Source organism: Homo sapiens, chromosome X, assembly GCF_000001405.40.
Source record: "Homo sapiens chromosome X, GRCh38.p14 Primary Assembly".
Classification (NCBI taxonomy): domain Eukaryota; kingdom Metazoa; phylum Chordata; class Mammalia; order Primates; family Hominidae; genus Homo; species Homo sapiens.
The window spans coordinates 1,400,022-1,426,514 of record NC_000023.11 but is presented as its reverse complement, the minus strand read 5'-3'; the positions used below and the strand labels follow the sequence as shown (position 1 = coordinate 1,426,514).

The following is a 26,493-nucleotide window of genomic DNA, read 5'->3' as shown; positions in this document are numbered from 1 at the left end:
AGGGATGCAGCCCTCCCAACACCAGGGGTCCCTCACAGGGCGTCCTCCGGGAAGCAGAGGTGGGGATGTCGGGTGCAGGAGGGACGCAGGCTTTGGGAGACAGGGAGACGGGCTGATGACACCTCCTGCCATTCATCATCAGGAGAGAGAACATGCAGTGAATAAGGAATAAAGGTGGTTACAGCACATTCCGTCTGTGCCTCTAATTTACCAAGTGGTGATTATTAAATCACCACCAGGTGGTTTATAAACAACAGACATTGATTCTCCCACAGTCCTGGAGGCTGGAGGTCCAAGATCAACGTGTGGGCAGGGCTGGTTCCTCCTGAGGCCTCTCTCCTGGGCTTGGAGATGCTGTCTTCTCCCTGTGTCCTCACAGGGTCGTCCCTGTGTGTGTGTCTGTGTCCTCATCTCCTTTTCTTATAGGGACCCCAGTCCTATTGGATTAGGGTCCACCCAAATGACCTCATTTTACCTGAATCACTTCTTTAAAACCCTGCCTACAAATACAGTCACATCCTGAGGGACTGGGGGGATTAGGAGTTCAACATCTGGGTTTTGAACTCAGTCCATATCGGCAGCATGTTGATTTTTCTCCCATGGGCTAGTTTTTCTGCATGATATTCGTTGATGTGCTTTTTCCTTGTGTACACCTTGTTTTATAGCTGGGGACTTGATCCTATAAATCCCCACCGTTCTCTGTGAAAGAAGGCTCAATGGCCAAGTTGTATACTTCCGACAGCGTTGGCCTCCATCTTTTGAGTCTGTGGGAGTAGAAAGTACTGGACAAGGGACTTAATGAGTCTCTCTGCACTTGCTTTTAACAGGGCCTGCTCACCGCTTGCAAACTGAAGGTGTTCGATTTGTTAAAAGATGAAGCACCCCAGAAGGCTGCGGATATTGCCAGCAAAGTGGACGCCTCTGCGTGTGGAATGGAGAGGCTTCTGGACATCTGTGCTGCCATGGGGCTCCTGGAGAAGACAGAGCAAGGTGACAGGACCCAGCGGGTTTTGCTCTGAGGATCTTTGCAGGTGGAAGTCACTGAGGGAAGGTGACCTGGAGCCTGGGCAGAGCGAGGAAGGAGGCCCACACCTTCTGTCCCTCTGCCCTCAGGAATGCTGCTTTTCCCGAAAGGTTGAGAAGCAGAGGGTGAATGACAGAGAGGGAACAGTGGCAGCCGCGAGCACATAGGAGAAGCGTGACCTCCTTATGGGCTCTAGTCTCAAAGGGGCTGTATCAGTCCATGTTCTCCTGAGAAACAGAACCCAATACGGTGTACACAGACATTGATTTAGTTGCTTATTTATTTTTATAGACAAATAACGTAGATGGATGGGTAGACAGATACATAGATAGATGATAAATGCATAGATACATTGATATAGATTGACGATAGAGAGATGACAGATACATAGATGATGGGTAGAGTTGATATATAAATGGATGGATGGATAGATGGATGGATGGATGGTAGGTGGATAGATGGGAGGAAGGATGGATGGATGGATGGATGGATGGTAGGTGGATAGATGGATGGGAGGAGGGATGGATGGATGGATGGATGGACAGATGGATTGATCAATGGATGGATAGATACATGGATGGGAAGGTGGATGGATTGGTGGATCAGTGGATGGGTGGATGGATGGGTGGGTGGGTGGATGGATAGATGGATGGATGGAGAGGTGGATGGATAAATGGAAGGGTGGGTAGATGGGTGGGTAAGTGGATGGATGGGTGGATGGATGAGTGGGTGAGTGGATAGATGGATGGATGTGTGAATGGAAGGATGTGTGGATGGATGGGTGGATGACTGGATGGATAAAGGTGGGTAGATGGATGGATGGATCGATGAATCGGTGGATGAGTGCATAGATGGGTGGGTAAGTGGATGGATGGGTGGATGGATAAGTGGGTGAGTGGATGGGTGGCTGGATGGATGGATGGACGGACAGATGGATGGATGGATGGATGTGTGGATGGATGGGTGAGTGGATAGATGTGTGGATAGATGGATGAGTGGGCGTGTGGATGGGTGGGCGTGTGAATGGATGGATGAGTGGATGGATGGGTGCACGGCTGGGTGGATGATTGGGAGTGTGGGTGAATAGACGGATGGGTGGGTGGACAGATGGATGGGAGGGTGGATGAACAGATATATCAGTGGATCGGTGGTTGGGTAGCTGGGTGGGGGAATGGATGGATGAATGGGTAGGTGGGTGGTTGGATGGGTGGATGGATGAGTGGGCATGTGGATGAGTGCATGAATGGATGGACGGGTGCATGGCTGGGTGGATGATGGGGAGGGTGGGTGAACAGATGGGTGGGTGGGTGGGTGGATGGATGGATGGATGAGTGATTGGATGGGTGGGGGAATGAATGGATAAATGGATGTGGATGGATGGATGCATGCATGGGTGGATGGATCAGTGGATCCATCAGTGGATGGGTGGATGGATGGGTAGGTGGGTGGGTGGATGGATGGATGGATGGACAGATGGATGGATGAGTGATTGGATGGGTGGGGGAATGAATGGATAAATGGATGTGGATGTATGGATGCATGCATGGGTGCATGGATCAGTGGATCCATCAGTGGATGGGTGAATAGATGGATGGGTAGGTGGATGGATGGATGAGTGGGCATGTGGATGGGTGGGCGTGTGAATGGATGGATGAGTGGATGGATGGGTGCATGGCTGGGTGGATGATTGGGAGGGTGGGTGAATAGATGGATGGGTGGGTGGACGGATGGATGGGAGGATGGATGGATAGATGTATCAGTGGATTGCTGGATGGGTAGCTGGGTGGGGGAATGGATGGATGAGTGGGTAGATGGGTGGATCGGTGGATTGGATGGGTGGGGGAATGCATAGATGAGTGATGAATGGGTGGATCAGCAGATGGGTGGGTGGATGACTAGATGGGTGGGTGAGTGGATAACTGGATGGGTGGGTGAGTGGGTGGATGGATGGATGGATGACAATGTGTTTTCTGAATTGAACAGAACTCTTCAGCATGGTGCTAGAATAGAGAGCACATGACCAAGTCCTTGAGTAGCCTGGGAAGGGCAGGACAACAGATGACACCTGGGCAGAGGTGGCTGTGCTTCTGTGATTAGGAGACAAAGCATGCCCTGGTTGAGGCTCCAAAGGCTGTGCCCTTACCACAGAGACATGTGACTATATCCTTAGAGGCTGGAACATAGAAGCCAGAACATCTTCCCCAGCCAGAGCAGTTCAGGACCATTCTCCCGTATTGAAAATAATGATGAATAGGCCACGCCTGTAATCCCAGCACTTGGGGAGGCCAAGGCAGGCAGATCACGAGTTCAGGAGATCAAGACCATCCTGGCTAACACGGTGAAACCCCGTCTCTACTAAAAATACAAAAAATTAGCCGGGCACGGTGGCGGGTGCCTGTAGTCCCAGCTACTCGGGAGGCTGAGGGAGGACAATGGCATGAACCCAGGAGACGGAGCTTGCAGTGAGCTGAGATCGTGCCACTGCACTCCAGCCTGGGGGACAGAGTGAGACTCCATCTCAAAAAAAATTAAAAAATTAAAAGAAAGAAAATAATGATGAATATGGAGAAAGGCTTTTCATCACCGGCACCATGCAAGCTTGTTCCAACTCCTTTTGACAACGCTTTGTGCAGTTGAGTCCTAGGAGCAGTTCCACGTCTGCAGAGGCTGCTCCTGCTTCACCATAGGTCTCATCATTTATTCATGATGAAAATAAATGTCATCTATCTGACTATAGCAAACCGTACACTCAGGGTCAGCTCGGTGGGAAAACAGTAACATTTCATCATTAACATGAACACAGGGCTGTTTCTTACATAGGAGGACCGGAGTGGTGCGAGGCCATCTGTTTCCATATACGGGTCTCCACCAACAACTTCTCCACCTTCCAGCCTCCCATTCTGTGGGAGGGGGCATCCTGGAAGGGAGCTTGGGGACTGGGTCTATGGACAGCTGACCTGGGCATGAAGTGGGTGGAGAATGAAGTTCCCTGTATCATTTGGGGCTCTCCAGGGTAACAGAACCCCTAGGATATAACCTAGGAGATTTATCTTGAGGACTTACGTGATTGTGTAGGCTGGCAAGTCCAAAATCCACAGGGCAGGCCAGGAGGCTGGAAGCTCAGGCAGGAGCTGCTGCTGCCATCTTCAAGTGGAATTTCTCCTCCAGGAAAGCCCAATGTTTGCTTCTGGGGTTTTCAATGAGCTGGATGAGGCCAATGCACATTTTGGGGGGTTAATCTCCTTAAAGTCAAACTGATGGTAGATGCAAACGCCAGCTACAGCACACCTCCACAGCCACATCTAGATGGGTGTTTGCCTGCATAACTGGGAACTTGAGCGTGGCCACGATCATGAAGAAAGGATCAGCCTCAGTGGGTAACAGTTACAGCAGTTGACAGCTGGGGCGTGGTGGCTGCTGTTTTCCTGCCCAGCTGACCCTGAGTGTACAGTTTGCTATAGTCAGATGGATGATGTTTATTTTAACATCTCAATGATGCATCCCCTATGGTCAGGTTTCCTTGAGTGTACGGTTTGCTATAGTCAGATGGGTGATGTTTATTTTAACATCTCAATGATACATCCCCTACGGTCAGGTTTCCTTGGGTTTTCTCGTTAGGAGGTCACACGACTGTCCCCATTTCTCCAGGTTACAGTAACACAGAGACAGCGAACGTCTACCTGGCATCGGATGGCGAATACTCTCTGCACGGCTTCATCATGCACAATAATGACCTCACATGGAACCTCTTTACATACCTGGAGTTTGCCATCCGAGAGGGAACAAACCAGCACCACAGGGCGTTGGGGAAGAAGGCGGAAGATCTGTTCCAGGTAGCATAACACCCCCGCGGACACCTTTCCGTCTAGCGTGCATTTTGCTAAAACACTTTGACACACAGATCAGTAGGCACCTTGACCAGTCTGTCTCCAGTCTGACAGATCCCAAAGGCTTGGCTCGTTCTGCCTGGAGAACTTAGTGCCGTGGCTCTTGTGTCACTCAGCCCTGGAACAGGTGCAACTTAGACATCCTCCACTGTTATCCAGCAGCTGATGAAAATAGAATTTCCTCCTAGAAACAGGTTTGAAGGCCATGCTCAGGGGCTCACACCTGTCACTCCCAGCACTTTGGGAGGCCAAGTTGGGAGGATGATTTGAGCCCGGGAGTTTGAGACCAGCCTGGGCAACATAGTGAGACCCCCATCTCTACAAAAAATTAACAGTTAGGCTGGGCATGGTGGCATGAGCCTGTAATCCCAGCTAGTTTGGGAGGCCAAGGTGGGCTGATCACCTGAGGTCAGGAGTGCGAGACCAACCTGGCCAACGTGCTGAAACCCCATCTCTACTAAAAATACAAAAAAAAAATTAGCTGGGGATGATGGCGCGTGCCTGTAGTCCCAGCTACTCAAGAGGCTGAGGCAGGAGAATCACTTGAACCCGGGATGTGGTGGTTGCAGTGAGCTGAGATCACGCCACTGCCCTCCAGCCTGGGTGACAGAGCGAAACTCCATCTCAAAAAAAAAAAAAAAAATTAACGATTAGCCAGGTATGATTAGGCAGCTACTTTGGGAGGCCCAGGTGGGTGGGAAGATCACTTGAACCTGGGAGGTCAAGGCTGCAGTGTAAGCCGTGATGGTGCTGCTGCACTCCAGCCCGGGTGACAGAACAAGACTCTGTCTGAAAAATAGAAATAGGAAGGAGTTGGACAGGCTGCCTTAAATGAATGCCCTGTTTCTTCTTTGCTTCAATGGAACTGACACTTGCTTATCTGAGGCCGCTGTTTGCAAAGCGCTCCCTGCATCCTCTCGCCCCTCCTTCCCCTTTCCCCGCCCAGAACCTTCCTGAGGTGGACGTGTGAGATATGGTGGGGTCCGTGGGGCCTGTGCAGATGGGTGGGTCTCGGTCTGCAGGGCTGTGCCAGCCAGGCGTGGGGAGTCTGCTGTGGGCTCGGCTGGCCGTGGCCTCATGCCTCCTTGGCAGCGCTGGCCGAGCTTCTGTGGCAGTGAGCACGGAGTCAGGGTGTGTGTGTGTGATGCAGAGATGAGCCCCAGGGAGCCGGGGGCTTCCTGCAGATGTTGGGGAGAGACATACAGACAGGGAGACACAGAGAGAGAGATAGGCAGACAGAAAGATAGAGGGAGACAGAGACAGACAGAGATGGAGGCAGACAGAGACAGGGAGATAGAGGGAGACAGAAACAGGGAGACAGAAAGACAGAGACAGAGATAGAGTGAGACAGACACGGAGATGGGAGACAGATAGTGAGATAGGGAGAGAGATGGAGAGACAGGGAGACTTGAGAGACAGAGGGAGGCGGAGACAGAGATAGGGAGACAGAAACAAAGATGGAGACAGACAGACACATAGAGGGAGATGGGAGACAGAGACAGGGAGGCTTGGAGAGACAGAGATAGAGGCAGATAGAGACAGAAACAGGAGACAGACATAGAGACAGAGACAGAGGGAGATAGAAAGAAACAGAGACAGGAGACAGAAACAGAGAGAGAGAAAGAGGAAGACAGAGACACACAGACGGAGACAGAGACAGACAGACAGAGACCAAGGGAGAAAGAGTCAGAGAGAGAAGCCAGTGGTGGAGAAGCCGAGAGGCACGGACAGGGGCCCTGAGCTGGCGTGAGCAGCCAGCGTGGGCATCGCAGAGGACAGATCCCTGAGCCCCATGATTGCCACCCACGCAGGGGAGGGCCGGGGAGCCCCCGCGAGATTTAGGGAGCCAGGATGGAGACCGGCTGTCCTGCTGGGAGCGGGGCTCAGAAGCATCCTCAGCTGGGCTTGCTTGCCCTGCAGGGACGGGATGTCCAGGCGAACCCTGGACACAGCACTGAGCCAGGATGAGCCTGGGCTCCTCTGGGACCCGGGGTAGGTGCCACTGGGGGGACTTGGAGAAGCTCGGAGGAGCTTCTCCTCTGCACACCAGAATTCTCGGAGGAGCCCCCTCTGCACACCGCACCATTGTGGTGAAGGCTGAGCCGGGGCACCTGCAGAGACATTGTGGCTTCTCTCCTGGTTTTCTCCAGTGAGGTGTTTGTGGGCCACCCGGAGCCTCCAGGGTGAAAAGCTTTATTGTGAAAAGCCTACTGCGAAAGTCAGACGCTTGGAGTTCAGGCTGTGGTGTGGACCAAGTGATTCCAAGGAGATCGTCCACCACTTTGGGGTCCTCTGTCCCCAGCCAGCCCAGCCCCCACACAGACAAGAGTAGCCCACACAGCTGTGGCATGAAGCCCGCTCTGCAGCCCAGGCGCGGCTGAGCCCCCACGCTCTGGAGCCCTGCACTTCTCCCCCCGACCCCCAGGGAGAGGCTGGGCGAGCCCTCGCCCCGTGTTCTCTGGTGCCCCTAAGCACCTGCTGTGTTCCAGGATGCGTACTACCAGAGCCCGGAGACGCGGCTGAGGTTCATGCGGGCCATGCACGGCATGACGAAGCTGACTGCGTGCCAGGTGGCCACGGCCTTCAATCTGTCCCGCTTCTCCTCCGCCTGCGACGTGGGAGGTGGGTGGCCCCCCCGCCAGGGCTCTCCTTACTTTCGTTTATTAAGCCACAGGTATCTTCCCTGCTCAGGACACCTACCAACTGCCTTTTTCCATTGACAAACCTGATAACGACCTGAACCGGGCCAGGCTGAGTCCCAGATCATGGGTGGATATTCCCAAGTTCCAGGAGGACCCCGGGGATGCCTAAATGCCCCCCTAGAAACTCCGGGGCCCTCTCTTTTGGCTGCGGAGCTGAGGCAGAGCACCTTGGAACCCCTGGATTCCCCTCAGCAAGTCTGATTATATCCTGACTCACCCTCCACCCCACCCCAGCCCTGGACAGTGGGTGGAGCAGTAGACACATTCCCAAGGGCTGCTGGGGGATCGGGGCCTGGGACGATTCTCACACCATCAGCTTACATTTCCCCAACCTCTGAATGCCTCTCCTCCTTGTGGTCCAGAGTGGCTGCTGTAGCACCAGCCATCGTGTCTGCATCCCCATGGCAGGAAGGAGAAGGGAGGAGTACAGCCCCCACCCCTGGGCAGAAAGGATTTCCCTGTAGGTCTGTGCCCCCTACACGTGGCCCAGAGTGGCTGCTGTAGCACCGGCCATTGTGTCTACATCCCCACGGCAGGAAGGAGAAGGGAGTACAGCCCTCCACCCCTGGGCTGGAAGGATTTCCCTGCAGGTCTGTGCCCCCACACTCACCTGCTTGTACAGTCTTGTCTGGGATACCAGCGAGCTCCCCACCACTGGCTTTCCCTTCCAGCATGGGAATCAATGCCATGCCCTTGAACATTACTTCTGCCCCAGTTGAGCTTTGGAGAGTCGTCAGAGTTCCATAGACGACCCAGCCACAGAGCATGCATTTGCTTCCCCGCAGGCTGCACGGGTGCACTGGCCCGAGAGCTGGCCCGTGAGTACCCTCGTATGCAGGTGACTGTGTTTGACCTCCCAGACATTATCGAGCTGGCCGCCCACTTCCAACCCCCCGGACCGCAGGCAGTGCAGATCCACTTCGCAGCAGGTGAGCCCTCCTCCTGTTCACCCTGCTAACCTTTTCCAGACTGCAGCATCTCTTTCTAGACAGAGGGCATGGCTGTGTGTGCACCTGTGTTTCTGCCTGGGCGTTTCCATGGTGGGTATGTGTGTGCAAATGGGACTGTCTACGGTGCTTGTGTGTGTGTGTCTCTCTGTGTGCATGTGTGTGGTATGCCCTGGAGCATACCTGTGACATGGAGCATGTCTGTGCGTGAGCATGTCTGTGTGTGTGTGTGTCTGCATCCGCATGTGTGTGCACGTCTCTGGTGTGTGGTTGCATATGTTTCTGTGAGAGTATGTGTGTGTGTCTGTGTGGGTATATGTGTGCATGTCTGTGTGTGTGTGTCTGCATCTGTGTGCATGCTGTGAGCCGGTGGGTGTCTGTGTGCATATGACTGTCGTGCTTGTGTGTCTGTGTGCATGTGTGTGTGTGTGCATGTCTGTGTCTGTATCTGTGTGCATGGTGTGTGTCTTCCGTGCATATGTAACTGTGTGTGCACGTCTGTGTAGTATGTCCTTGTGTGTGTGTCTGTGCATGAGACTGTGTGTCCACGTGTCTGCAAGTCTCTGTGGTGTGTGGTTGCATATGTTTCTGTGAGGTGATGTGTGTGCATCCGTGTGGATATATGTGTGCATGTCTGTGTATGTGCGTCTGTGTGCCCGTCTGTGTCTGCATTTGTGTGTATGCTGTGTGCTGGTAGGTGTGTGTGTGTATGTGACTGCTGTGGTTGTGTGTCCCTGTGTGCATGTGTCTGTGTGTACGTCTGCATCTGTGTGCATGCTGTGGGCCGGTGGTTGTGTGCATATGTGACTGCTGTGGTTGTGTGTCTGTGTGCATGTGTCTGGGTGTGCTTGTCTGTGTGTCTGCATCTATGTGCATGGTGTGTGTCTGTGTGGATATGTGAGCATCTGCTGTGCTTGTGTCTGTGTCTCTGTGTGTTTCTGAGTCTGTGTGTGCACATCTCTGTGTGGTATGTCCTTGCATGCGTGTCTGTACGTCAGAATGTCTCTGTGTCTGAGTCCGTGTGTGTGTGTGCACCTCTGTGGTGTGTATGTCTCTGAGGGTATGTGTGTCTGCGTGTCTGTGGATATATGTGTACATGTCTGTGTGTGCATGTCTGTGTGCCCATCTGTATCTGTGTGCATGGTGTGTGTGCATGTCACTGCTGTGCTTGTGTGTACGTCTGTGTGTGCATGTGTCTGTGTGTGCATGACTGACTGTGTGTGGTATGTCCTTGTGTGTGCGTGCGTAAGAATGTGTCTCTGTGTCTGCATCTGCGTTTGTGTGTGTGCAACTCTCTGTGGTGTGTGCTTGCATATGTGTGAGGGTATGTGTGTTTCTGTGCGTCTGTGTGGGTATATGTGTGTATGTCTGTGTGTCTGCGTCTGTGTGCCTGTTGGGGTATCTCTGTGTGTCCGTGCGTGTGCCCATCTGTGCATGTCTGCATCCGTGTGTGTGTGCCTGTCGCTGTATCTGTATGTCCATGTGTGTCTGCGTGTCCATCTGTGCATGTCTATGTTTATGTGCGTGTGCCTGTCTGTTGGTGTATCTGTATGTCCGTGTGTGTGTGTGCCCATCTGTGCATGTCTGCGTCTGTGTGTGCCTGTCACTGTATCTGTATGTCCGTGTGTGTGTGTGTCCAGCTGTGCATGTCTGCGTCTGTGTGCGTGCCTGTCTGTTGGTGTATCTGTGTGTCCGTGCGTGTCTGTCTGTGCCCATCTGTGCATGTCTGCGTCTGTGTGTGCCTGTTGCTGTGCATGTCTGCGTCTGTGTGTGCCTGTCGCTATATCTGTATGTCCATGTGTGTGTGCCCATCTGTGCATGTCTGCGTCTGTGTGTGCCTGTTGGTGTATCACTGTGTGTCCGTGCGTGAGTGTGCCCATCTGTGCATGTCTGTCTCTGTGCGCGTGTGCCTGTCACTGTATCTGTGTCCGTGTGTGTGTGTGTGCCTGTCTTGCTGTATCTGTGTGTCCATGTGTGTACCTGTCAGTGTATCTGTGTCCTGCATGTGTCCGTGTGTGCATGTCTTGTGGCGTGTGCTTGCATGTGTGCCTTTGTGTCTGCATTTCTGTGCATCTGGATGGGTATATGTGTGTGTGCCTGTGTCTGTGTCTGTGCGTCCGTGGGTCTGCCTGTGCGTGTCTCTCTGCGGGTCCACACAGACACGAGGGCATCTCCAAACAGGTGGACAAGGCTGGGCACAGTAGCTCACGCCTGTAATCCCAGCACTCTGGGAGGCTGAGGCGGGCGGATCCCCTGTGGTCAGGAGTTCGAGACCAGCCTGGCCAACATGGCGAAACCCCATCTCTACTAAAAATACAAAAATTAGCCGGGCGTGGTGGCGGGCGCCTGTAATCCCAGCTACTCAGGAGGCTGAGGCAGGAAAATCGCTTGAACCTGGGAGGCGGAGGTTGCAGTGAGCTGAGATCTCACCACTGCACTCCAGCCTGGGCAACAAGAGCGAAACTCCATCTCAAAAAAAAAAAGACAATGATAATAATAATGATAAATAAAAATAAACAGGTGGACGACTGTGTGAAGTTATCATCAGTGCAAGTAGCCGAGACGTGAGGGGAGTGGAGATGGGGAACAGCCGAGATCAGCATTCATGGGCATCCACGGTGCCGAGGTCACGGAAGGAACTGACCCGAGAGCCGTCACAGTGTGGCCTTAGGTTAGACTTGAAGGAGAACTTCCAGGTGGCAGCTGCTGAGGCCAGGACGGATTGACAGGAGACGCCTGGAATCCCAGCCCTCTGGGAGGCTGAGGCGGGTGGATCACCTGAGGTCAGGAGTTTGAGACCAGCCAGAGCAACATGGTGAAACCCCATCTCTACTAAAATTACAGAAATTAGCCAGGCATGGTGGCGGGTGCCTATAATCCCACCTATTCAGGAGGCTGAGGCAGGAGAATCGCTTGAACCCGGGAGGCGGAGCTTGCCGTGAGCCGAGATCGCGCCACTGCACTCCAGCCTGGGCAACACAGCAAAACTCCATCTCAAAAAAAATAAAAAAATAAAAAAAGAGACAGCTGACGTGCTGTAACTCAGCACCATCCGACAGCGGCCAGGCCTGTGGGCACAGGTGCTGGGGACCTCCACAACCCTCCCCCAGAGGTTCCTGGATGCTTTTCTCGTTTTTAAAAAAACAAAACGCAACCACCCTACAGCTCCTCCTGCAGGACATCATGATAGCTGTGCTTCTGATTTGCCAGATCTGCAGAGACAGAAATGCTGAAATTTATTTATGTTTGAATGGTGTCTCGCTCTGTCACCCAGGCTGGAGTGCAGTGGCGTGATCTTAGCTCACTGCAACCTCCACTTCCTGGGTTCAAGGGATCCTCCCACCTCAGCCTCCCGAGTAGCTGGGGTGACAAGTGCCCGCCACCACGCCTGGCTAACTTTTGTATTTTTAGTACAGATGGGGTTTCACCATGTTGGCCAGGCTGGTCTCGAACTCCTCACCTCAGGTCATCCACCCGTCTTGGCCTCCCAAAGTGCTGGGATTACACCCCGCCCGGCCGGAAATGCTAAAGTTTAAAATCATGAGCCCTGAAAGAGCACCTTCTCCTCGCAGCTGGGGGAAAACAGCTCTGGAGACTTCCCACCGCACACTCTCCCGCCCCTTCTTTCCCCTCATGCAACTCACAGCTTGCTATTTATCCTCTCCCTGTCCTGCAGACCGGAGGTCTGAGATCAAGGCATCTCAGGGCTGTGCTCCCTCTGGAGGCTCTAGGGGAGGATCCTTCCTGCCTCTCCCAGCTCCTGGGGGCTCCGGGTGTCCCTGGGCTTGTAGCCGCATCACTCCAGTCTCTGCCTCCATCTCCACGTGGCCTTCTCCTCTGTGTGTCTCCTCTTCTGTCTCTTAGAAGGACACCTGCCATTGCATTTAGGGCCCACCCTACTCCAGGATGATCCCATCTCCAGATCCTTAATTACATCTGCAAAGAAACTTTATCCAAATGAGGTCCCATTCCCAGGTTCTGGGGCTTAGGACTTGGACAGATCTTTTGGACGTCACCACCCAACCCATTGCAGTTGTGTTTGATTCTTTCTGAGAGGCTCTAGGGGAGGATCCTTCCCGCCTCTTCCAGCTCCTGGGGGCTCCAGGCGTCCCTGGGCTTGTGGCCGCATCACTCCAGTCTCTGCCTCCGTCTCCACGTGGCCTTCTCCTCTGTGTCTGTCTCCTCTTCTGTCTCTTAGAAGGACACCTGTCATTGGATTTAGGGGACACCCTACTCCAGGATGATCTCATTTTGAAATTCTTTACTCAATGACATCCATAGAGACCCTATTTCCAGATAAGGTCCCATTCCCAGCGACTGAGGGTCAGCACCTGAATATATCTTTTAAGGGGACACCATTCACTGCACTACAGCAGACCATCTTTTTATTTCAGCAATTACAGAGGGGCGTGCAGCTACATGCGCCCCCCGCAACAGGCAACCCTCCTGGGGCGCCTGAATCAGGGGATCACCAGAGAAGGCCCTGCCATTGCCCACTCACCGGCAGTGCGGCCCCGACTCTCCCTGGCACACGCCCATGTGCGCCGACTCTGCCTGCCTCGCCCAGGTGCTGCCCCTGAATTCCCTGCTTTTTTCCTCCCTTGCCTTCTTGTCGCCCAGGCTGGAGTGCGATGGCGCGATCTCGGCTCACTGCAACCTCCACCTCCCAGGTTCAAGCGATTCTCCTGCCTCAGCCTCCCGCGTAGCTGGGATGACAGGCGCCCGCCACCCCTGTCCAGCTAATTTGCATTTTTAGTAGAGATGGGGTTTCGCCGTGTTGCCCAGGCTGGTCTCGAACTCCTGAGCTCAGACAATCTGCCCACCTCAGGCTCCCAAAATGCTGAGATTACAGGTGTGAGCCACTGTCCCCAGCGTTTTCTCAGCCCGAGTCAAACCGCACGGGCGTGACATCACTAACCAGCTCCTCATGGAGCTCTGTTCAAGTCCCCACGGGGATGTACTTCAGGAAGACCCATTCCCGCCCACACCCCTCTCTTCTCTGTCCCTGATTTAGGATGCGGGTGGCCGTCCCAGGATCTGTCCGGGGAGGACTGCTTCTTCCATACCTGACGGACGTATCTCGTTTTGTCTTTAAACCAGGTGACTTTTTCAGGGACCCCCTCCCCAGCGCTGAGCTGTACGTCCTGTGCCGGATCCTGCATGACTGGCCAGACGACAAAGTCCACAAGTTACTCAGCAGGGTCGCCGAGAGCTGCAAGCCAGGTGAGAGCCCATCGTCAGGTTAGCTGTTTTTGTTAAGACGTAGTATTTTGGGTTCAAGTTTTACAAGGAGGCCGGGCGCGGTGGCTCACGCCTGTCATCCCAGCGCTTTGGGAGGCCGAGGCGGGCGGATCACCTGAGGTCAGGAGTTTCAGACCAGCCTGGCCAACGTGGTGAAACCCCATCGCTACTAAAAATACAAAAATTAGCCAGGCGTGGTGGCTCATGCCTATAATCCCAGCACTTTGGGAGGCTGAGGCAGGTGGATCACCCGGGGTGAGCAGTTCGAGACCAGCCTGGCCAACATGGTGAAACCCCGTCTCTACTAAAAATACAAAAATTAGCCAGGTGTGGTAGTGCGCACCTGTAATCCCAGGTACTTCAGAGGCTGAGGCAGGAGAATCACTTGAACCCGGGAGCTGGAGACTGCAGTGAGCCGAGATCGCGCCACTGCACTCCAGCCTGGGCGACGGAGTGAGATTCGGTGTCAAAAAAGAACAACCACAACAAAAAAAGAATTGGCTTATGTGACTTTGGAGGTTGGCAGGTCCAGCGTCTGGGTGAGAGGCCCGCTAAATTGTGGAGGGTAAATCTGCTGTATTTAAAGTTGGCCAGTGTGGCCAGGTGTGGTGGCTCACGCCTGTCATCCCCGCACTTCGGGAGGCCGAGGCGGGCGGATCACCTGAGGTCGGGGGTTTGAGACCAGCCTGGCCAACATGGTGAAACCCCGTCTCTATTAAAAACAAACACAAAAAATAAGCCGGGCTTGATAGCGGGTGCCTGTAATCCCAGCTACTCAGGAGGCTGAGGCAGGAGAATCGCTTGAACCTGGAGACGGAGGTTGCAGTGAGCCGAGACTGCGCCACCGCACTCCAGCCTGGGTAACAGAGCGAGACTCCATCTCAAAAAAAAAAAAAAAAAAAAAAAAGAAAATCCTAAAGAGAAAATATATTTACTATTCGTGAAGTTGAAGTGGCTCATGATAAAAGTCTTCATTCTTGAGGAGGTCTTCACACTGAGGAGGCTGCAGAGGAGGAAGCCGTGGGCTGGTGTTGCTGTCTCAGGGGTGGCCGAGGCAGAGGGAAATCCACGCATGAGTGGACTCTGCAGCTGGATCTAATCTGTGTGTTTCTACGCAGACACACGTGCACACACACACAGCACGCACCATCTCGGCTCAAAGCCTTCACATCAGGTTTCTCCCCCGTCCACCCAGGCTGCTCCTGGAGCCCAGTGGGGCTGCTGGAAACCCTGGCTCCAGGGGTTCGGGCCAGGGCTGCATATTGGGTTTCCACAGTTGAACCAGCTGGCCCTGAGGGAATCTGACGGGCACTCAGCCTCCCTCAAGAGTTCAGCGTTGTTGCTCCAGTGAGAATTCCTGGAATATTTGCAGACAACGGTTAATTATCTTCACAGAGCCAGGGCCTGGCACCTGCGCGTTGAAACAGGACTCCCCATAGGCTCAAATGGTCAAGAGACTTCCATTCTTCTCTCCCTCTGTCTCTCCTTCTTTCTCTCTTTCTCTGTGTATCTCTCTTCTTTTTTTTTTTTGAGACGGAGTCTCGCTCTGTCGCCCAGGCTGGAGTGCAGTGGCACGATCTTGGCTCTCCGTAACCTCCACCCCCAGGGTTCAAGTGATTCTCCTGCCTCAGCCTCCCGAGTAGCTGGATTACTGGCACATACCACCACGCCCGGCTAATTTTTTATTTTTAATAGAGACAGGGTTTCTCCATGTTGGTCAGGCTGGTCTCGAACTCCCAACCTCGGGTGATCCACCCAGCTGGGACTCCCAAAGTGTTGGGATTACAGGCGTGAGCCACCTCGCCCGGCTCTATTATATTTTTTGAGACGAGGTCTCACTCTGCTGCCCAGGCTGGTGTGCAGTGGAGCAGTCACAGGTCACTGCAGCCTTGACCTCCTAGGCTCAAGCTGTCCTCCCACCTCAGCCTCCCGAGTAGCTGGAAGTACAGGCATGCATCATGCATCACCATGCCCAGCTAATTTTTTAAGAAGTTTTTTCTGAGACCGGGCACGGTGGCTCACACCTGTAATCCCAGCACTTTGGGAGGCCAAAGCGGGCAGATCTCGAGGTCAGGAGTTCGAGACCAGCCTAAGCCACGTGGTGAAACCCCGCCTCTACTAAAAATACAAAAATTAGTCCGGCGTAGTGGTGCACGCCTCTAATTCTAGCTACTCAGGAGGCTGAGAGAGGACATCACTTGAACCTGGGAGGCGAAGGTTGCAGTGAGCAGAGATCGCGCCACTGCACTCCAGCCTGGGCAACACAGCAAGACTCCGTCTCAGAAAAAAAAAAAAAAGTTTTTTGTGGAGATAGGAGTCCCCCTCTGTCACCCAGGCTGGAGTGCAGTGTTGTCATCATAGTTCACTGCAGCCTTGACCTCCTGGGCTCAAGCGATCCTCCTGCCTCAGCCTCCCGAGTATTTGGGAGTACCAGCATTTGGCTGGAGGGCAGTGTTGTCATCATAGTTCACTGCAGCCTTGACCTCCTGGGCTCAAGCGATCCTCCTGCCTCAGCCTCCCGAGTATTTGGGAGTACCAGCATTTGGCTGGAGGGCAGTGTTGTCATCATAGTTCACTGCAGCCTTGACCTCCTGGGCTCAAGCGATCCTCCTGCCTCAGCCTCCCGAGTATTTGGGAGTACCAGCATTTGGCTGGAGGGCAGTGTTGTCATCATAGTTCACTGCAGCCTTGACCTCCTGGGCTCAAGCGATCCTCCTGCCTCAGCCTCCCGAGTATTTGGGAGTACCAGCATTTGGCTGGAGGGCAGTGTTGTCATCATAGTTCACTGCAGCCTTGACCTCCTGGGCTCAAGCGATCCTCCTGCCTCAGCCTCCCGAGTATTTGGGAGTACCAGCATTTGGCTGGAGGGCAGTGTTGTCATCATAGTTCACTGCAGCCTTGACCTCCTGGGCTCAAGCGATCCTCCTGCCTCAGCCTCCCGAGTATTTGGGAGTACCAGCATTTGGCTGGAGGGCAGTGTTGTCATCATAGTTCACTGCAGCCTTGACCTCCTGGGCTCAAGCGATCCTCCTGCCTCAGCCTCCCGAGTATTTGGGAGTACCAGCATTTGGCTGGAGGGCAGTGTTGTCATCATAGTTCACTGCAGCCTTGACCTCCTGGGCTCAAGCGATCCTCCTGCCTCAGCCTCCCGAGTATTTGGGAGTACCAGCATTTGGCTGGAGTGCAGTGTTGTCATCATAGTTCACTGCAGCCTTGACCTCCTGGGCTCAAGCGATCCTCCTGCCTCAGCCTCCCGAGTATTTGGGAGTAGCAGCATTTGGCTGGAGTGCAGTGTTGCCATCATAGTTCACTGCAGCCTTGACCTCCTGCACTCAAGCGATCCTCCTGCCTCAGCCTCCCGAGTATTTGGGAGTACCAGCATTTGGCTGGAGGGCAGTGTTGTCATCATAGTTCACTGCAGCCTTGACCTCCTGGGCTCAAGCGATCCTCCTGCCTCAGCCTCCCGAGTATTTGGGAGTACCAGCATTTGGCTGGAGGGCAGTGTTGTCATCATAGTTCACTGCAGCCTTGACCTCCTGGGCTCAAGCGATCCTCCTGCCTCAGCCTCCCGAGTATTTGGGAGTACCAGCATTTGGCTGGACTGCAGTGTTGTCATCATAGTTCACTGCAGCCTTGACCTCCTGGGCTCAAGCGATCCTCCTGCCTCAGCCTCCCGAGTATTTGGGAGTAGCAGCATTTGGCTGGAGTGCAGTGTTGCCATCATAGTTCACTGCAGCCTTGACCTCCTGCACTCAAGCGATCCTCCTGCCTCAGCCTCCCGAGTATTTGGGAGTAGCAGCATTTGGCTGGAGGGCAGTGTTGTCATCATAGTTCACTGCAGCCTTGACCTCCTGGGCTCAAGCGATCCTCCTGCCTCAGCCTCCCGAGTATTTGGGAGTAGCAGCATTTGGCTGGAGGGCAGTGTTGCCATCATAGTTCACTGCAGCCTTGACCTCCTGCACTCAAGCGATCCTCCTGCCTCAGCCTCCCGAGTATTTGGGAGTACCAGCATTTGGCTGGAGGGCAGTGTTGTCATCATAGTTCACTGCAGCCTTGACCTCCTGGGCTCAAGCGATCCTCCTGCCTCAGCCTCCCGAGTATTTGGGAGTACCAGCATTTGGCTGGAGGGCAGTGTTGTCATCATAGTTCACTGCAGCCTTGACCTCCTGGGCTCAAGCGATCCTCCTGCCTCAGCCTCCCGAGTATTTGGGAGTACCAGCATTTGGCTGGACTGCAGTGTTGTCATCATAGTTCACTGCAGCCTTGACCTCCTGCACTCAAGCGATCCTCCTGCCTCAGCCTCCCGAGTATTTGGGAGTAGCAGCATTTGGCTGGAGGGCAGTGTTGTCATCATAGTTCACTGCAGCCTTGACCTCCTGGGCTCAAGCGATCCTCCTGCCTCAGCCTCCCGAGTATTTGGGAGTACCAGCATTTGGCTGGAGGGCAGTGTTGTCATCATAGTTCACTGCAGCCTTGACCTCCTGCACTCAAGCGATCCTCCTGCCTCAGCCTCCCGAGTATTTGGGAGTACCAGCATTTGGCTGGAGGGCAGTGTTGCCATCATAGTTCACTGCAGCCTTGACCTCCTGCGCTCAAGCGATCCTCCTGCCTCAGCCTCCCGAGTATTTGGGAGTACCAGCATTTGTTATCATGCCCTGTTAGGGTTTTTTAAATTTTGTAGAGATGGGATCTTGCGATGTTGCCCAGGCTACCCTTCCTGGGCTCAAGCGATCCTCCTGCCTCAGCCTCCCAAAATGCTGGGGTTAAAGACATGAGCCACTGCACCCGGCCTCTGTCTCTCTTTCTCTCTCTTCTCCCTCTTCCTCTCTGTCTCCTCCTCTCTGTGTCTTTTTAGGTATCTCATCTATCATCATCAATCTCTGTTTCTCTTCTCTCCTCCTTCCTCCTTTATCTTCTCTGTCTCTTCCTCCCTCTCTCCACCCTGTCTCTGTCTCTCTTTATACATCTATCATCCTTTTTTAAAAAAAATAAAATAGAGACAGGGTCTCACTATGTTGCTCAGGTTGGTTTCAAACTCCTGGGCTCAAACCATCCTCCCACCTCTGCCTCCCAAAGTGCTGCGATTACAGGTGTGAGCCACTGCGTCTGGCCTTCTAACAATGCTCCGTCACCTGTCATCTGTCTATCATTTATTATCTATCCATCCATCCATCATCTACCTACCCATCATCTACCATATATTCACCCATCCATCCATCTCATCCATGCATCCATCTATCCATCTATTCATCTATCTACCTATCATCTACCATCTATTCACCCATCCATCCATCTCATGAATGCATCCATCTATATCCATCCATTCATCTACCTACCTGCCCATCACCTACCATCAATACACCCATCCATCTCATCCATCTATCCATCCATTCATCTACCTGCCCATCATGTACCATCTATTCAGCCATCCATCCATCTCATCCATGCATCCATCTATCCATCCATCCATCTACCTACCTACCCATCATCTACCATCTATTCACCCAGCCATCCATCTCATCCATGCATCCATCTATATACATCCATTCATCTATCTACCTACCCATCATCTACCATCAGTTCACCCATCCATCCATCCATCTACCCATCATCTACCATCAGTTCACCCATCCATCTCATCCATGCATGCATCCATCCATCCATCCATCTACCTACCCATCATCTACCATCTATTCACCCATCCATCCAATCCATGCATCTATCCATCCATTCATCTACCTACCCATCATCTACTATCTATTCACCCATCCATCTCATCCATGCATCCATCTATTCATCTATCTATGTACCCATCATCTACCATCTATTCACCCATCCATCCATCTGTTCCATGCACCCATCTATCCATCCATTCATCTACCTACCCATCATCTATTATCTATTCACCCATCCATCCATCTCATGCATGCATCCATGTATCTATCCATTCATCTACCTACCTACCCATCATCTACCATCTATTCACTAATCCATCCATCTCATGCATGCATCCATCTATCCATCCATTCATCTACCTACTTAACCATCATCTACTATCTATTCACCCATCCATCCATCACATCCATGCATCCATCTACCTACCTACCTATCTATTCACCCATACATCCATCTCATCCATGCCATCTATCCATCCATCCATCCACCTACCTACCCATCATCTACCATCTATTCAAGCATCCATCACATCCATACATCCATCTATCCATCCACTCATCTATCTACGTACCCATCATCTACCATCTATTCACCCATCCCTCCATCCATCTCATCCATGCATCCATCTATCCATCCATTCATCTACCTACCTACCCATCATCTACCATCTATTCACCTATCCATCCATCTCATCCATGAATCCATCCATCCATCTACCTACCTACCCATCATCTACCATCTATTCACCCAACCATCCATCTCATCCATGCACCCATCTATTCATCTTCCTACCTACCCATCATCTACCATCTATTCACCCATCCATCCATCTCATCCATCCATTCATCTATCTACCCATCATCTACCATCTATTCAGCCATCCATCCATCTCATCCATGCATCCATCTATACATCCATCTACCTACCTACCTACCCATTTATTCACCCATCCATCCATCTCATCCATGCCTCCATCTATCCATCCACCTACCTACCCATCGTCTACCATCTATTCACCCATCCATCACATCCATACATCCATCTATCCATCCATTCATCTATCTACGTACCCATCATCTACCATCTACTCATCCATTCATCCATCCATCCACTCATCTACCTACCCATCATCTACCATCTATTCACCCATCCATCTCATCCATGCATCCATCTATCCATCCATCCATCTACCTATGTACCCATCAGCTACCATCTATTCACCCAACCATCCATCTCATCCATGCATCCATCTATTCATCTTCCTACCTACCCATCATCTACCATCTATTCACCCATCCATCCATCTCATCCATACATCCATATATCCATCCATTCATCTATCTACCTGCCCATCATGTACCATCTATTCACCCATCCATCCATCTCATCCATGCATCCATCTATCCATCCATTCATCTATCTACCTACCCATCATCTACCATCTATTCACCCATCCATCCATCTCATGCATGCATCCATCTATCCATCCATCCGTCTACCTACCTACCCATCATCTATACACCCATCCATCTCATGCATGCATCCATCTATCTATCCACTCATCTACCTACCTAACCATCATCTACTATCTATTCACCCATCCATCCATCACATCCATGCATCCATCTATACATCCATCTATCTACCTACCTACCTATTCACCCATCCATCCATCTCATCCATGCCTCCATCTATCCATCCACCTAACGATCCATCATCTACCATCTATTCACCCATCCATCACATCCATCTATCCATCCACTCATCTATCTACGTACCCATCATCTACCATCTGTTCACCCATCCATCCATCTATCCATCCATTCATCTATCTACGTACCCATCATCTACCATCTATTCACCCAACCATCCATCTCATCCATGCACCCATCTATTCATCTACCTACCTACGCATAATCTACCATCTGTTCACTCATCCATCCATCTCATCCATGCATCCATCTATCCATCCATTCATCTATCTACGTACCCATCATCTACCATCTATTCATCCATTCATCCATCTATCCATCCACTCATCTACCTACCCATCATCTACCATCTATTCACCCATCCATCCCTCTCATCCATGCATCCATCTATCCATCCATACATCTACCTACGTACCCATCAGCTACCATCTATTCACCCAACCATCCATCTCATCCATGCATCCAACTATTCATCTTCCTACCTATCCATCAGCTACCATCTATTCACCCATCCATCCATCTCATCCATACATCCATATATCCATCCATTCATCTATCTACCTGTCCATCATGTACCATCTATTCACCCATCCATCCATCTCATCCATGCATCCATCTGTCCATCCATTCATCTACCTACCCATCATCTACCATCTATTCACCCATCCATCCATCTCATCCATGCATCCATCTATCCGTCCATTCGTCTACCTACCTACCCATCATCTATCATCTATACACCCATCCATCCATCTCATGCATGCATCCATCTATCCATCCATTCATCTACCTACTTACCTAACCATCATCTACTATCTATTCACCCATCCATCCATCCATCTATACATCCATCTATCTACCTACCTACCCATCTATTCACCCATCCATCCATCTCATCCATGCCTGCATCCATCCATCCATCCATCCACCTACCTACCCATCATCTACCATCTATTCACCCATCCATCTCATCCATGCATTCATCTATCCATCCATTCATCTATCTATGTACCCATGATCTACCATCTATTCACCCATCCATCCATCCATCTCATCCATGCATCCATCTATCCATCCATTCATCTACCTACCTACCCATCATCTACCATCTATTCACCCATCCATCTCATCCATGCATCCATCTATCCATCCATCTACCTACGTACCCATCATCTACCATCTATTCACCCAACCATCCATCTCATCCATGCACCCATCTATTCATCTTCCTACCTACCCATCATGTACCATCTATTCACCCATCCATCCATCTCGTCCATGCATCCATCTATCCATCCGTCTACCTGCCCATCATGTACCATCTATTCACCCATCCATCCATCACATCCATGCATCCATCTGTCCATCCACTCATCTACCTACCTACCCATCATCTACCATCTATTCACCCATCCATCCATCTCATACATGCATCCATCTATCCATCCATCCATGTACCTCCCCATCACTTACCATCTGTTCATCCATCCATCCTTCTCATCCATGCGTCCACCTATCCATACATCTTTCTACCTACCTACCCACCCATCATCTACCATCTGTTCATCCATGCATCCAGGAGAACCGGAAAAGGCCCAGGTGATGCATCCATCTATCCATCCATCTTTCGATCAAATCTCCTTCTCCCTGTCTGTCCGCCCTGCATCAAGTCTCTGTCTCTCTCCCCTCCCCTACCTGTGTGGGCCCCCTGGCCAAGGGTTCTCAGCAGCCTCTGCTCACCGTTCTGAGCTCCTGTTGCCTGCTGTGTCCCCTGTGTCCTGCTGAAGGATCCCCGCCTGGCTGGCCAGGACTCCAGCTCTCTGCTGTCTCCCTCAGGGGCCGGCCTGCTGCTGGTGGAGACGCTCCTGGATGAGGAGAAGAGGGTGGCGCAGCGCGCCCTGATGCAGTCACTGAACATGCTGGTGCAGACTGAAGGCAAGGAGCGGAGCCTGGGCGAGTATCAGTGCTTGCTGGAGCTGCACGGCTTCCACCAGGTGCAGGTGGTGCACTTGGGGGGTGTCCTGGATGCCATCTTGGCCACCAAAGTGGCCCCCTGAAGCCCAGGCAGCATGTTCATTATAGGGATGTCCTCCCCCAGGCTGCAGGTGGACCGCCCGGTCCCCAAGTACCATAGGACAGTCACATAGGAGCGTGTAGTCGTGACTGAATAAAGAAAGCAAAAGCCTGTCTCTGCCTCCTCCATAGGGGTTTTGATGAGGGAGACGGCTGCATTTAGGGAGGAGGAGACAGAGGCTGCATTTGGGGAGTGGGGGAAGGAGGCTGCTTTTGGGAAGGAGGAGACAGAGGCTGCATTTGGGGAGGAGGGGAAGGAGACGGCATTTGGGGAGGGGGGGACAGAGGCTGCATTTGGGGAGGACAGGAGGCTGCATTCGGGGAGGAGAGGATGGAGGCTGCATTCGGGGAGGAGGGGAAGGAGGCTGCATTCGGGGAGGAGGGGAAGGAGGCTGCATTCGGGGAGGAGGGGAAGGAGGCTGCATTCGGGGAGGAGGGGAAGAGGCTGCATTTGGGGAGGGGGGAAGGAGGTGGCATTTGGGGAGGGGGACAGAGGCTGCATTTGGGGAGGAGGGGAAGGAGGCTGCATTTGGGGAGTGGGGACAGAGGCTGCATTTTGGGAGGGGGAAGGAAGCTGCATTGGGGAGGAGCGAGGAGAAAGAGGCTGCATTTGGGGAGGAGGGGAAGGAGGCTGCATTTGGGGAGTGGGGACAGAGGCTGCATTTTGGGAGGGGGAAGGAGGCTGCATTTGGGGAGGAGGAGGGAAAGGAGGCTGCTTTTGGGAAGGAAGCTGTATTGGGGGAGGAAGGGAAAGAGGCTGTATTTGGGGAGTGGGGACAGAGGCTGAATTTTGGGAGGGGGGAAGGAGGCTGCATTCAGGGAGGAGGGGACGGAGGCTGAATTGGGGGAGGAGGGGATGGAGGCTGCATTTTTAGAGGAGGAGATGGAGGCTGCATTCGGGGAGGAGGGGACGGAGGGACAGCCAGGAATAACTGTTCAGCCCACGGATGTTCTGGGAACCAGCAGCCTTCCAGAGTAGCCAGTGGGGACTCCCGGGGAGGGCGGTGGGGACAGGGCTTTCTCCTACCTCCTAGCAGGCAGACGGCTGCTGTGACGGTGCCGTCTACCAGGCAGGGTCTCAGTCCTTCTCCGCACTCCAGCCTGCATCTTCCCATCTTCTGCACGATTTCCAGTGTGTTTCCTCCATGGGGCGCCATCGCTGCCGCTCACCCCTGGATGCCCACAGGCTATGGAGTGGCAGTTCTCTGGGCGGCTTCCATCTCTCCTGCCTTGGTGCAGAGACTGTCACGAGCGGGACCTCCCCAGCCCCTGCTGCGGGGCTGAAATGCGTCTGTAAACACCCCCCACCCCGAGCCCAGGCAGGCCAGACTCACACCCACCCCGTGAGGCCCTCCTGGGCACATGCTCACTGCGGTTGTAGGGAGCTCAGCGCATCCACGTTTCCCCCGTGCTCCGCTCCCAGCTGCTGTTCCCGGCCTGTGTCCCGACCCTCAGACCTCAGTTCACCCTCTGGTGCCCACACAGCCCCCTTTCCTCCCTGGCCCCTCCACCAGGGAATGGCTGGGCCAACCTGGGGCTGGGCTGGGGTGGAGCCCTTTAACTCACAGCCTTGACCTTAGGAGGCACTGAGGTTCAGGAGGCATCTGCAAAGCGAGAACCGGAGCAGGCCTAGGTGCTGTTTTCACGGCGCGTGCACCCAGCTTACCTGTTCCTGGGCTGGGCGTCAGTCTCCTATATTTCAGCTGTTTTCCTTTTTCTGAGACAGACTCTGGAGTTTAGCTCTTCTTACCCAGACTGGAGTACAATAATGCAATCTCGGCTCACTGCAACCTCCGCCTCCTGGGCAGTCTATTTCAAGGTGCAAACTCCGCCTCCTGGGCGGCCTATTTCAAGGTGGAAGCCCCACCTTCTAGGCCTATTTCAAGGTGCAAGCCCCGCCTCCCGGGCGGCCTATTACAAGGTGCAAGCTCCGCCTCCCAGGCGGCCTGTTTCAAGGTGCAACCCCACCTCCCGGGCGGCCTATTTCAAGGGGCAAGCCCTGCCTCCTGGGCGGCCTATATCAAGGTGCGAGCTCTGCCTCCCAGGCAGCCTATTTCAAGGTGCAACCCCGCCTCCTGGGCGGCCTATTTCAAGGGGCAAGCCCCGCCTCCTGGGTGGCCTATTTCAAGGTGCAACCCCGCCTTCTGGGCGGCCTATTTCAAGGTGCAAGCCCCGCCTCCCGGGCGGCCTATTTCAAGGCGCAAGCTCCGCCTCCTAGCCCAATTTCAAGGTGCACCCTCTGCCTCCTGGGCGGCCTATTTCAAGGTGCTCACTGCACAGATGGGAGTGGTTTTCTGCAATGGTCACGGATGATCTCAATAACACCAAAGTCACATGCTGCTCCACCCTTACAGTGGCCTGGTATCACAAAAGAATGTGTAGGTTGCTTTGTGCTTTAAGAAAACAGCTGAAATAGGCTGGGTGCAGTGGCTCACGCCTGTCATCCCAGCACTTTGGGAGGCTGAGGTGGGCGGATCACCTGTGGTCAGGAATTCGAGACCAGCCTGGCCAACAGAGTGAAATCCTGTCTCTACACAAAATACAAACACTAGCCGGGCATAGTGGCAGGAGCCTATAATCCCAGCTACAGGGGGGAGGCTGAGACAGGAGGATGGCTTGAACCCAGTAGGTGGAGGTTGCAGTGAGCCGAGATTGTGCCACTGCACTCCAGCCTGGGCGACAGAGTGAGACTCCGTCTAAATAAATAAATAAAAGAAAACAAAACTGATCTCTATATATTTTATGTAATATAAATTATGTGTTCCATAAATTCTGTAAATTATGTGTTCTATCCGTGTACAGGCACGTGTGTAGAGGTGTGAGTGTTCAGGTGTGTATACATACACATACACACCCATCTGTGCGCACACACACACACACACACACACAGTCACGTGTGTCACTGAATGACAGGGACCTGTTTCGGGAAATGCATCCTTAGGCAATTCTCTTTGTGTGCCCATCACGGGGTGCACTCACACATACCGCCGTGGCACATACAGCCTGCTACTCACCTGGGCTGTGCGGCAGGGCCCCAGGCTCCCGGGCTACAAACCTGGACAGCAGGTGAGTGTGCCCAGTGCTGCAGGCTGCTGTAATACAATGGTAGGGATTTGTGTGTCTACAAATAAAGGCACACGAAAACTACTGTATTACCATCTCCTGGGACCTCCGCTGTCTAGGAAGGCCGTTGTTGACTGAAGGGTTGTTACCTGGCACAGGTGACTGTGT

The 26,493-nt window shown here is 53.0% G+C and overlaps 1 protein-coding gene and 1 long non-coding RNA gene across 5 annotated transcripts in view; one reads left to right on the top strand and one right to left on the bottom strand.

Annotated features, from left to right (window-relative positions):
- The window catches only part of ASMTL (acetylserotonin O-methyltransferase like), a 50,618-nt gene extending 27,242 nt beyond the window's left edge, over nt 1–23,376 (top strand). For all 3 annotated transcript variants that reach the window (NM_001173473.2, NM_001173474.2, NM_004192.4), the window contains 6 exons: nt 828–990; nt 4,673–4,857; nt 7,401–7,533; nt 8,399–8,542; nt 13,661–13,783; nt 23,026–23,376. In NM_001173473.2, the coding sequence (NP_001166944.1) occupies nt 828–990; nt 4,673–4,857; nt 7,401–7,533; nt 8,399–8,542; nt 13,661–13,783; nt 23,026–23,246 (969 nt within the window). In that variant the 3' untranslated portion in view covers nt 23,247–23,376. The remainder of the gene's footprint in view (nt 1–827; nt 991–4,672; nt 4,858–7,400; nt 7,534–8,398; nt 8,543–13,660; nt 13,784–23,025) is intronic.
- ASMTL-AS1 (ASMTL antisense RNA 1) lies at nt 11,094–25,984 on the bottom strand. Of its 2 annotated transcripts, NR_026711.1 has the most exons (6): nt 25,929–25,984; nt 24,290–25,053; nt 22,930–23,054; nt 13,627–13,772; nt 12,205–12,753; nt 11,094–11,772 (listed from the first exon to the last, which is right to left on the bottom strand). It is a non-coding gene; the product is annotated as an ASMTL antisense RNA 1 (long non-coding RNA). The 2 variants fall into 2 exon arrangements; NR_026710.1 differs by lacking the exons at nt 11,094–11,772; nt 12,205–12,753 and having other exon boundaries at nt 12,929–13,772.